This window comes from Homo sapiens, chromosome 2, assembly GCF_000001405.40.
Source record: "Homo sapiens chromosome 2, GRCh38.p14 Primary Assembly".
NCBI classification, from domain to species: domain Eukaryota; kingdom Metazoa; phylum Chordata; class Mammalia; order Primates; family Hominidae; genus Homo; species Homo sapiens.
Window position 1 is genome coordinate 161886420 of NC_000002.12, and position 12998 is coordinate 161899417.

General features: G+C 36.3%; 1 protein-coding gene and 1 long non-coding RNA gene across 29 annotated transcripts in view; one reads left to right on the forward strand and one right to left on the reverse strand.

Moving 5' to 3' along the window:
- SLC4A10 (solute carrier family 4 member 10) overlaps positions 1 to 12998 on the forward strand; it is a 360855-nt gene that overhangs the window by 262004 nt on the left and 85853 nt on the right. For all 26 annotated transcript variants that reach the window (NM_001354461.2, NM_001354447.2, NM_001354441.2 and 23 more), the window contains one exon: positions 8260 to 8406. In NM_001354461.2, the coding sequence (NP_001341390.1) occupies positions 8260 to 8406 (147 nt within the window). The remainder of the gene's footprint in view (positions 1 to 8259; positions 8407 to 12998) is intronic.
- LOC105373722 (uncharacterized) overlaps positions 1 to 12998 on the reverse strand; it is a 29568-nt gene that overhangs the window by 2798 nt on the left and 13772 nt on the right. The window lies entirely within an intron of this gene.

Genomic DNA, 12998 nt, shown 5'->3' on the forward strand with positions numbered 1-12998 from the left:
ATCTTGAGAGTTTTGAAGGAGTAGTCTCTACTAGATCCTGAATATTTTTAGACTCATTCATTTCTTATCATATTGCAGTCTGACTTTGGCACCGTCATTCTACTTAAACTGCTCTCAATAAAATTATCACTTACTAAGAATGTTATTACATGTTCAGTGTGACATTATTGAAAATCACATTTTTCTTTTTTCCCATGAAGAACTGCTAAATTTTTTTGTGTGCTTCGTTTTGACACTAAGTCTCTGAGATTTTTTTTAATTGAAAGAATTTATTTTTTATACAATTTCTAATGTTATTTAGGGTACAATCAGGAAGAAAAAAATTGTTTGGTGGCTGTCTCAACCCCCAAATCATCAATCTTAATTTTTTTTGTTTGATTTTTTTTGTATACTTTAAGTTCTGGAATACATGTGCAGAACGTGCAGGCTTGTTACATAGGTATACACATGCCATGGTGGTTTGCTGCACCCATCAACACGTCATCTACATTAGGTATTTCTCCTAATGCTATCTCTCCCCTAGTCCCCCACCCCTCAACAAGCCCCAGTGTGTGATGTTCCCCTTCCTGTGTCCATGTGTTCTCATTGTTCAACTCCCACTTATAAGTGAGAACATGCAGTGTTTGGTTTTCTTTTCCTGTGTTAGTTTGCTGAGAGTGATGGTTTCCAGCTTCATCCATGTCCCTGCAAAGGACATGAACGTGTCCTCTTTTATGGCTGCATACTATTCCGTGGTGTATATGTGCCACATTTTCTTTATCCAGTCTATCATTGATAGGCATTTGGGTTGGTTCCAAGTCTTTGCTATTGTGAATAGTGCTGAAATAAATATACGCAGTAGTACGTTTATATCTTTATAGTAGAACGTATCTTTATAGTAGAATGATTTAGAATTCTTCAGGTATATACCCAGTAACGGGGTTGCTGGGTCAAATGGTATTTCTGGTTCTAGATCCTTGAGGAATTGCCACACTGTCTTTCACAATCGTTGAACTAATTTACACTTCCACCAACAGTGTGTTTCTATTTCTACACATCCCCTCCAGCATCTGTTGTTTCCTGACTTTTTAATGATTGCCGTTGTCACTGGCATGAGATGGTATCTCATTGTGGTTTTGATTTGCATTTCTCTAATGACCAGTGATGATGAGCTTTTTTTCATGTTTCTTGGCCACATAAATGTCTTCTTTTGAGAAATTTCTGTTCATATCCTTTACCCACTTTTTGCTGGGGTTGTTTTTTTCTTGTAAATTTGTTGAAGTTCCTTGTAGATTCTGGACATGAGTCCTTTGTCAGATGTATAGATTGCAAAAATTTTCTCCCATTCTGTAGGTTGCTTGTTCATTCTGTTGATAGTTTCTTTTGCTGTGCAGAAGCTCTTTAGTTTAATTAGCTCCCATTTGTCAGTTTTGGCTTTTGTTGCCATTGCTTTTGGTGTTTTAGTCATGAAGTCTTTGCCTATGCCTATGTCCTGAATGGTATTGCCTAGGTTTTCTTCTAGGGTTTTTAGGGCTTTAGGTCTTACATTTAAGTCTTTAATCCATCTTGAATTAATTTTTGTATAAGGTGTAAGGAAGGGGTCCAGTTTCTGTTTTCTGCATATGGCTAGCTAGTTTTCCCAACACCATTTATTAAATAGGAATCCTTCCCCATTGCTTGTTTTTGTCAGGTTTGTCAAAGATCAGGTGGTTGTAGATAAATGGCATTATTTCTGAGGTCTCTGTTCTGTTCCATTGGTCTAAATATTGGTTTGGATACAAGTGCCCTGTGGTTTTTCCATGTAGTATAGTTTGAAGTCAGGTAGTGTGATGCCTCCAGCTTTGTTCCTTTGCTTAGGATTGTCATGGCCATACAGGCTCTATTTTTGGTTCCATATGAAATTTAAAGTCGTTTTTTCCAATTCTGCGAAGACAGTCAATGGTAGCTTGATGGGGATAGCATTGAATCTATAAACTACTTTGGGCAGTATGGCCATTTTCACGATATTGATTCTTCCTATCCATGAGCATGGAATGTTTTTCCATTTGTTTGTGTCCTCTCTTATTTCCTCGAGCAGTGGTTTCTAGTTCTCCTTGAAGAGGTCCTTCACATCCCTTGTAAGTGGTATTCCTAGGTATTTTATTCTCTTTGTAGCAATTGTGAATGGGAGTTCACTCATGATTTGGCTCTGTGTCTGTTATTGGTGTATAGGAATGCTTGTGACTTTTGCACTTTGATTTTCTATCCTGAGACTTTGCTGAAGTTGCTTATCAGCTTAAGGAGATTTTGGGCTGAGACAGTGGGGTTTTCTAAATATACAATCATGTCATCTGCAGAGACAATTTGAGTTCCTCTCTTCCTATTTGAATACCTTTATTTCCTTCTCTTCCCTGGTTGTCCTGGCCAGAACTTCCAATACTATGTTGGATAGGAGTGGTGAGAGAGGGCATCCTTGTCTTGTGCTGGTTTTCAAAGGGAATGCTTCCAGCTTTTGCCTATTCAGTATGATATTGGCTGTGGGTTTGTCATAAATAGCTCTTATTATTTTGAGATATGTTCCATCAATACCTAGTTTATTGAGAGTTTTTAGCAGGAAAGGGTGTTGAATTTTATTGAAGGCCTTTTCTGCATCTGTTGGATAATCATGTGGTTTTTGTCATTGGTTCCATTTATGTGATGGATTACACTTATTGATTTCTGTAAGTTGAACCAGCCTTGCATCCCAGGGATGAACGAGACTTGATGGTGGTGGATAAGCTTTTTGATGTGCTGCTGGATTTGGTTTGCCAGTATTTTGCTGAGGATTTTTGCATCAATGTTCATCAGGGATATCGGCCTGAAATTTTCTTTTTTTGTTGCATCTGCCACGTTTTGGTATCAGGATGATGCTGGCCTCATGAAATGAGTTAGGGAGGAGTCCCTCTTTTTCTGTTGTTTGGTATAGTTTCAGAAGGAATAGTACCAGCTCCTCTTTGTACCTCTGGTAGAATTCGGCTATGAATCCATCTGGTGCTGGGCTTTTTTTGGTTGGTAGGCTATTAATTACTAACTCAATTTCAGAACTTGTTGTTGGCCTTTTCAGGGATTCAACTTCTTCCTGCTTTAGTCTTGGGAGAGTGTATGTGTTCAGGAATTTATCCATTTCTTCTAGATTTTCTAGTTTATTTGCGTAGAGGTGTTTATAGTATTCCCTGATGGCAGTTTGTATTTCTGTGGGATCAGTGGTGATCTCCCCTTTATCATTTTTTATTGTGTCTATTTGATTTTTCTCTCTTTTCTTCTTTATTGGTCTGGCTAGCATCTATCTATTTTGTTCATCTTTTCAAAAAACCAGCTCTTGGATTCACTGATTTTTTTGAAGGGTTTTTGTGTGTGTGTCTCTGTCTCCTTTAGCTCTGCTCTGACCTTAGTTATTTCTTCTCTTCTGCTAGCTTTTGAATTTGTTTGCTCTTGCTTCTCTGGTTCTTTTAACTGTGATGTTAGGGTGTCAATTTTAGATCTTTCCTGCTTTCTTCTGTGGGCATTTAGTGCTATAAATTTCCCTCTAAACACTGCTTCAGCTGTGTCCCAGAGATTCTGGTATGTTGTGTCTTTGTTCTCATTGGTTTCAAATAACTTATTTATTTCTGCTTTAATTTCGTTATTTACCCAGTAGTAATTCAGGAGCAGGTTATTCAGTTTCCACGTAGTTGTGTGGTTTTGAGTGAGTTTCTTAATCCTGAGTTCTAATTTGATTGCACTGTGGTCTGAGAGACTGTTTGTTATGATTTGTGTTCTTTTGCATTTGCTGAGGAGTGTTTTACTTCCAATTATGTGGTCAATTTTAGAATAAGTGCGATGCGGTGCTGAGAAGAATGTATATTCCGTTGATTTGGGGTGGAGAGTTCTGTAGATGTCTATTAGATCTGCTTGGTCCAGAGCTGAGTTCAAGTCCTGAATATCCTTGTTGATTTTTCTGTCTCGTTGATCGGTCTAATATTGACAGTAGGGTGTTAAAGTCTCCCACTATTATTGTATGGGAGTCTCAATCTCTTTGTAGTTCTCTAAGAACTTGCTTTATGAATCTGGGTGCTCCTGTATTGGGTGCATATATATTTAAGATAGTCAGCTCTTCTTGTTGCATTGATCCCTTTACCATTAGGTAATGCCCTTCTTTGTCTTTTTTGATATTCGTTGGTTTAAAGCCTGTTTTATTGGAGACTAGGATTGCAACCCCAGCTTGCATTTTGCTTTCCATTTGCTTGGTAAATGTTCCTCTATCCCTTTATTTTGAGCCTGTGTGTGTCTTTGCATGTGAGAGGGGTCTCCTGAATACAGCACACCAATGGGTCTTGACTCTTTATCCAAGTTGCCAGTCTGTGTCCTTTAATTGGGGCATTTAGCCCATTTATATTTAAGGTTAATATTGTTATGTGTGAATTTGATCCTGTCATTATAATGCTAGCTGGTTATTTTCCCCATTAGTTGATTCCCTTCTGTTTCTTCATAGTGTCAATGGTCTTTACAATTTGCTGTGTTTTTCAGTGGAGGGTACCTGTTTTTCCTTTCCATATTTAGTGCTTCCTTCAGGAGCTCTTGTAAGGCAGGCCTGGTAGTGACAAAATCTCTCAGCATTTGCTTGTCTGTAAAGGATTTTATTTCTCCTTTGCTTATGAAGCTTAGTTTGGCTGGATATGAAATTCTGGGTTGAAATTTCTTTTCTTTAAGAATGTTGAATATTGGCCCCCACTCTCTTCTGGCATGTTGGGTTTCTGCAGAGAGATCCACTGTTAGTCTGATGGGGTTCCCTTTGTAGGTAACCCGACCTTTCTTTCTGGCTGCCCTTAACATTTTTCCCTTCATTTCAACCTTGGTGAATCTGATGATTTTGTGTTTTGGGGTTTCTCTTCTCGAGGAGTATCTTTGTGGTGTTCTCTGTATTTCCTGAATTTGAATATTGGCTTGCCTTGCTAGGTTGGGGAAGTTCTCCTGGATAATATCTTGAAGAATGTTTTCCAACTTGGTCCTATTCTCCCCACCACTTTCAGGTACACCAATCAAACGTAGGTTTGGTCTATTCACATGGTCCCATATTTCTTGGAGGCATTGTTCATTCCTTTTCATTATTTTTTCTCTAATCTTGTCTTCTTGCTTTATTTTATTAAGTAGATCTTCACTCTCTAATATCCTTTCTTCCGCTTGATTGATTCAGCTATCAATACTTCTGTATGCTTCACGAAGTTCTTGTGTTGTGTTTTTCAGCTCCATCAGGTCATTTATATTCTTCTCTAGCTGGTTATTCTAGTTAGCAATTCCTCTAACCTTTCTTCAAGGTTCTTAGCTTCCTTGCATTGGGTTAGAACATGCTCCTTTAGCTTGGAGGAGTTTGTTATTAACCACCTTCTGAAGCCTACTTCTGTCAATTCGTCAAACTCATTCTCCATCCAGTTTTGTTCCCTTGCTGGCAAGGAGTTGTGATCCTTTGGAGGAGAAGCAGCATTCTGGTTTTTGGAATTTTCAGCCTTTTTGTGCTGAAAAACTTTCTTTTTTTAATTGAACCAATAGTCTAGTTTGAGAAGGGGGTCAGGGAAGTCTGATATACACTGAAATCAGACTGTTAAGTTAGCTTGACAAAGAGAAGGTAGAAGAGGAATGTAAAATAATTAAGCTATTGATAACATTGGTGATAGGGAAACAATAGTAAGTACTATATGATTTAAAATTAAACAAATTATGGCATCTATACCTTTAGGGAGCTTTAAAATAACAGGAAATCTGTTGTCCTGGATGAATTTGGACATTCATCTACCTAAAACACGGTATAGAATAATGTGATCTCGCAAAGCAGTTTTCTAATTAAATGTGATCAAATTAAGAAAGATTTCAAGAGAGTTGCTACTAACAGGAAAAGAGTAGGGTTGCTAAACTCTCATTGAGGACTAAGAACTTTTGCAATCCTTAAGTATTCCAGTTAGGTCTCAGGGCCATGTAGCCATCTTTATAAGAAGCTTGTGGCATGGAAATCTATATTTTTAATATTAAAAAAAATCTCTTTCTCAAAATACAACTAAACCATTAATGGATCTTTAACATTTTCGTATTATCCTAAGCAAAGTCTGTTTATCAGACCAATAATGTTTTGTGACGTGTTCTTAGTTGGAAAGTCAATAAAAAGCTTTCTAAAATGATCATTATTACTTAGCAGTTTGTATTGAGTATCAAACCAGAAATGGAAACAAATGGTCTAAAAGTAAAATAGAATATTTGAAAGCAGAATTTTCCTGGCAATTTTGGGACATTTGGTCACTGTAATTTAGGCCAGCATAAAGAATAATATAGGAGTCCTTAATCTCAAATACTTGTATCATTTCATCCCAAGTAAAATTTAAAGTGTCAGAAATATTTATATTATATTCAGTGTAAATTAATTTTTTCTCTTCATCCTTATTTTTATTTTCCCCACTTACTATATTAAGTACGTAATTCCTGAGTATGATAAGATAAATTAGGTTATGCTGCAGGAATAACCAACTAAAATATTAATGGCTTAAAACAATAAGGATTTATTTCTATCATGCTAAACTTTCATCAAGATGTAGGAGAGAGGCTCTGCTCATTATAATCACTTAGGCCCCCTGTGCTTATAGAAGCTCTAGCTGGACCTGTGTTTTCTCAGTCACTAAACCAGAAAAAAAGCAATGTGATAAGTCACACATTGGTACTCATAACTTCCATTCAAAACTGACATATGTACACCCAAGTAGAATATACCTGATCCAAATAGCAAAGAAGGCAAAGAAGTACAATCTTACCATGTGGTCTAGAAGAAAACCTGGAATATCTGTGAACAGCCTAAATGGCTAACATAGCACATGTGTGCGGAGGGGAGGTGGAAGGGACAAGTATGAAATGTAACTCATACTTTGAGTGGAAATGAACTTTCTGCACTGTGTAGATATAATATATAGTTGGCCCTCTGTATCTTCAGGTTCTGCACCCTTGAACTTAACTAACTGCAAATCAAAAATATTTGAAAAGTCAGGGTGCAGTAGCTCACACCTATAATCCCAGCACTTTGGGAGGCCAAGGTGGAGGATGGTTTGGGGCCAGGAGTTCAAGACCAGCCCAGGCAACATAGCAAGACTCTGTCTCTACAAGAAATTTTTTAAAAATTAGCCAGGTTTTGTGGTACACACCTGTAGTCCCAGCTACTTGGAAGACAGGAGCTTAAGCAGGAGCTTAAGCCTAGGAGTTCAAGGCTGCAGTGAGGTATGACTGTGCCACTGCATTCCAGCCTGCATGACAGAGTGAGACCCTGCCTCTAAAAACAAAAATCAAAAATATTCGAGGGGGGGACAATAAAAAATAACAATGTTACAATAAAAATAATATGCATAAAAATTATACAGTATAATAAATATATAGCATATACATTGTATAGATATTATAATAATCTAGAAATGATTTAAAGTACAGATGCTCCTCAACTTTCAATGGGGGATTATGTCCCCCCATTGAAAATATCATAAGTGGAAACTATGTTTTTGACTTATGATATTTTCAACTTATGATAGGTTTATCCAGACTTAACCCCACTGAAAGTTGAGGAGCCTACTCAATGCATGTCACTTTTGCACCATCATAAAGTCAAAAGATTGTAAGAGAAACCATAGAAAGTAGGGGATCCTCTAAATATAGGAGTATATGCATAGGTTATGTGCAAATACCACTCCATTTTATGTAAGGAACTCAAGTATCCATAGATTTTGGTATCTGCAGGGAATCCTGGAACCAATCCCTCAAAGATACTGAGGAATGACTATATATCCAGAAAATACTAACATAACCTTAGTATTATTTTCAAAATGGAAACAAAATTAACCTTTTAAATTAATTTATTTATGCCAGGGTATAAATACTGCTGAAATTTCCAACACATTTTACAAATTTTTATTTCTATTTGTAAGCAAAGGCTTCCTCCAGAAACTGATTTTCCCATACATAAATAACTTTTGCCTAATTCTAGTTTAATGAGCTTCCTTTCATCCTCCTTTTTCTTTCCCTTACTCCTTCCCTCTAGAAATTTCAACATTCATCTGACATCATAAGAAAAATAGTTACCTATATGGATCCATAAAATAAATTATAATATTTTACAACATAAACTTCTTTAGAGTCAGAGCTGTCTATTTCTTCAAATTGTTATAATCACATGTGAGATAACTGAGTTGAAAACACTGAACACATTAATATTTTATAATTATTTTTAAGCTATAAATAATATTTCTATTTCTTCTAAAGGTATTTCATGATGTTGCCTATAAAGCTAAAGATCGTAATGACTTGGTATCAGGAATTGATGAGTTTCTGGATCAGGTTACTGTTCTCCCTCCTGGAGAATGGGATCCAAGCATTCGAATAGAGCCTCCCAAAAATGTTCCTTCCCAGGTATGTATATTTGAAGACATTCTTTGAAATTGAATTTTTTTTTGTCTTTTAAATGCATGTTTTATTTTATTTTATTTATTTATTTATTTATTTTATTATTATTATACTTTAAGTTTTAGGGTACATGTGCACAATGTGCCGGCTAGTTACATATGTATACATGTGCCATGCTGGTGTGCTGCACCCATTAACTCGTCATTTAGCATTAGGTATATCTCCTAATGCTATCCCTCCCCCCTCCCCCCACTCCACAACAGTCCCCAGAGTGTGATGTTCCCCTTCCTGTGTCCATGTGTTCTCATTGTTCAATTCCTATCTATGAGTGAGAACATGTGGTGTTTGGTTTTTTGCCCTTGCGATAGTTTACTGAGAATGATGATTTCCAATTTCATCCATGTCCCTACAAAGGATGTGAACTCATCATTTTTATGGCTGCATAGTATTCCATGGTGTATATGTGCCCCATTTTCTTAATCCAGTCTATCATTGTTGGACATTTGGGTTGGTTCCAAGTCTTTGCTATTGTGAATAGTGCCGCAATAAACATACATGTGCATGTGTCTTTATGGCAGCATGATTTATAGTCCTTTGGGTATATACCCAGTAATGGGATGGCTGGGTCAAATGGTATTTCTAGTTCTAGATCCCTGAGGAATCGCCACACTGACTTCCACAAGGGTTGAACTAGTTTACAGTCCCACCAACACTGTAAAAGTGTTCCTATTTCTGCACATCCTCTCCAGCACCTGTTGTTTCCTGACTTTTTAATGATCACCATTCTAACTGGTGTGAGATGGTATCTCACTGTGTTTTTGATTTGCATTTCTCTGATGACCAGTGATGATGAGCATTTTTTCATGTGTCTTTTGGCTGCATAAATGTCTTCTTTTAAGAAGTGTCTGTTCATATCCTTTGCCCACTTTTTGATGGGGTTGTTTGTTTTTTTCTTGTAAATTTGTTTGAGTTCATTGTAGGTTCTGGATATTAGCCCTTTGTCAGATGAGTAGGTTGTGAAAATTTTCTTCCATTTTGTAGGTTGCCTGTTCACTCTGATGGTAGTTTCTTTTGCTGTGCAGAAGCTCTTTAGTTTAATTAGATCCCATTTGTCAATTTTGGCTTTTGTTGCCATTGCTTTTGGTGTTTTAGACATGAAGTCCTTGCCCATGCCTATGTCCTGAATGGTAATGCCTAGGTTTTCTTCTAGGGTTTTTATGGTTTTAGGTCTAACATTTAAGTCTTTAATCCATCTTGAATTAATTTTTGCCTGAGGTGTAAGGAAGGGATCCACTTTCAGCTTTCTACATATGGCTAGCCAGTTTTCCCAGCACCATTTATTAAATAGGGAATCCTTTCCCCATTGCTTGTTTTTGTCAGGTTTGTCAAAGATCAGATAGTTGTAGATATGCAGCGTTATTTCTGAGGGCTCTGTTCTGTTCCATTGATCTATATCTCTGTTTTGGTACCAGTACCATGCTGTTTTGGTTACTGTAGCCTTGTAGTATAGTTTGAAGTCAGGTAGTGTGATGCCTCCAGCTTTGTTCTTTTGGCTTAGGATTGACTTGGTGATGCAGGCTCTTTTTTAGTTCCATATGAACTTTAAAGTAGTTTTTTTCCAATTCTGTGAAGAAAGTCACTGGTAGCTTGATGGGGCTGGCATTGAATCTATAAATTACCTTGGGCAGTATGGCCATTTTCACGATATTGATTCTTCCTATCCATGAGAGAATAAAATACCTAGGAATCCAACTTACAAGGGACGTGAAGGACCTCTTCAAGGAGAACTACAAACCACTGCTCAATGAAATAAAAGAGGATACAAACAAATGGAAGAACATTCCATGCTCATAAATGCATGTTTTACAATAGCATAACCCATCAAGAAGATTCAAATGATTTAAAGGATAGCCTCTAAGGCAGAAGGGGCATGAAGTTACAAGATCTTTCTTAGTACTACCTAACACACATTACTGAGAAACTTGGCAGTTTGATGACAACCTACTAATCAAACAGTGCCATATGCCTGGAAAGATTTTAGCCCCTACTTAAAACATATTATCCAAGAGGAATATTAAAATTTTAATAACAACATTAAATATGGCCTAAGAGAAAGCGCATTACTGTCCTTGTATGTTTTGATACATCACTTTGAAATTGGCAAGCATTAGGAAAATTCAAAGACATGACTTAATCATATTATATAGAAAACTCCATATTTATTACTGCTAATCACAGGAAATATTGGGAAGATTTTAAAATTATAATTCTTATATTTGTATTGCTTTTTTGTGAATGTATGATATAAAGATTTTTTAAATTTTGTTTATGAACATCTAATGTATATTTTACCCATCATACAATCCAGAAAGATAGAAATATAAAGCATTGCTATTTTTTAGGGTCATTTTTTAAATTGCAGGCATGAGTATTAAGAGTGATGACCAAATATTTGTTAAGCTCACTCCTCATACTGCCACCTCTATGCCTACTGAATCTGCCTCCCACAACCCTCCCAAATTGTTGTGTACTTAGTCTTGCCTTTGGCCCTTGCCCTGTGGAGTTCAGCCTTGCCTGACTCTGCTACCCTATTGGAAGCGGCAGATGGTCTAATTGACCCAGCCCTGGAATTAGAAATTTTCCTGCTTTGCCAGAGGTGGGCAAATGAGCAGTTGTACCACTCAACCATGAGTACTTAAAAAGGGTATCTCAATTTCACTGTCAATTTAAAGAAACTATATGGATACCTCATTTTTATATTTTCATTTTGAAATCATTTCATAATTATTAAAGACTATTTCCTTTTCTCAAAACTTACCATTTTGTGATTATGTAACTGCTACCACATATTTCAGTTGATCTACTATTAAAATAAAAAGTTGCCTAATAATTAATTGTAGGGTTTATAGATTGTCTCATTTCTGTACTTGTAGAATACATCTTTGTACTAATGATATTAGAAAAGGCAATATAATGCTTCCTGAGTATGTAGAAACTCTTTAATTAATGTTATTTGGAGAAATGCAGCAAAATATTAATACATTCAGAATGAGGCTTTAAAATTCACTGTAATACCCATTAGCTATTGAAACATTGAAGTTAAGTGTTTTTGAAAACACCTTTGTGAACAATAATGTTTTTGAGGCAAGTTGAGTGATGGGAGGCCAATATTGTTTATGATTTTATGACACCCTTTAAAATCGAATTAATTATTGGATTCTGGGTATTGAGAGGCAGTCATAGAAAGAACATCAAATTAAGAATCAAAGCATCCGAGTTCTGCAATTATCTATATGTATGACCTTGAACAAATGTTTTAACCTCTCTGTTGATGTTCTGTATCAGCACTGTCCAACAGAGTTTTCTGCAATAATGGAAATATTCTACGTCTATGCTATCCAGTAATCAAGCCACTAGTAAGCATTAGAAATGTTGCCATTGTAACTAAAGATCAGAATTTTTCATTTTAATTACCTTAAATGTAAATAGACATATGTAGTTTGTGGCTATCATATTAGACAGCATAGTTCTATACAACAAATTTGAAATTACAGATATGCTCTATGCTTCTTTTCAACATTCATGTTTTAAAAATATATGTTGTAATTGAATAATAGATAGCATGAGGCTATGTTTTCTATTAGACGGAGTGAAATGAGTTAATATACATTAAACATTCTGACCTCATACTCTTTCAAATTTTTTCACCATTGGGATCATTTCCATCTTTTTTATTCATTTGAAATGTGCAAATCCCAGCATTTTAAATATTTTTTCCCTTTCAGTTAAGAGAAGAATAACCTGTCACCTCCAGGGATAACCCTGAAAATGTTCATTAGAACTTTGCATCAGTCATTAAAATCACTCCCTTTTGTGTACCCTCAACTTATTTGCTCTTCTCTCATGTCGTGTACTTGCTTGGCAAAACCACAACCCTGTGAGAATCCAACACTTTACTCTGTACCGCACTGATGAAGCTGAAGCTGAAGGAAAACATGTAACCACACTAACTGGTCTCACATAAATTCATGACCACATACCTCAAGTGAGCCCTTTGTGTTGCAGGTTCATCATACTACACTTTCCTAGTCCAATCATTCTCACTTGATGACTATTTCACACTTATTCTTCTCTCCTCAAGCCTTCAGCACATCCTTTCTGACCCTCACTCTCATATGCTGATGTGCCTTTTATTTCCCTAAGAAATTTGAAACAATCAAAAAAGAACTTCTATAGATTGCTACATGCATCCACATACTCTGCCTTCCTGTTCATTACTATTGATGAAATAGCCAAAGTCAGCCTTCTACTTGTGCACTAGAAAGAACCTATCTCTTCACATCTACTCAAGAGCACAACTCTACCAATTCTCCTCTTTCTCTTCTATATCATCAAATCTTTTTTTCTGTATTTTATCACTTTTATTAGCATACAATACTATTAAATTTACCAATCTTAAATAAAAGAACTCTCTTGATACCACTACCCAGCCTGCCACTCTTATTCATTCCCTTTTATAACAAAATGCCACAGAAGAGTTCTCTGTGCTACTTGTCTCCAGTTACTCTCCTCCAATTCTCTTTTAACATTCACTCCAA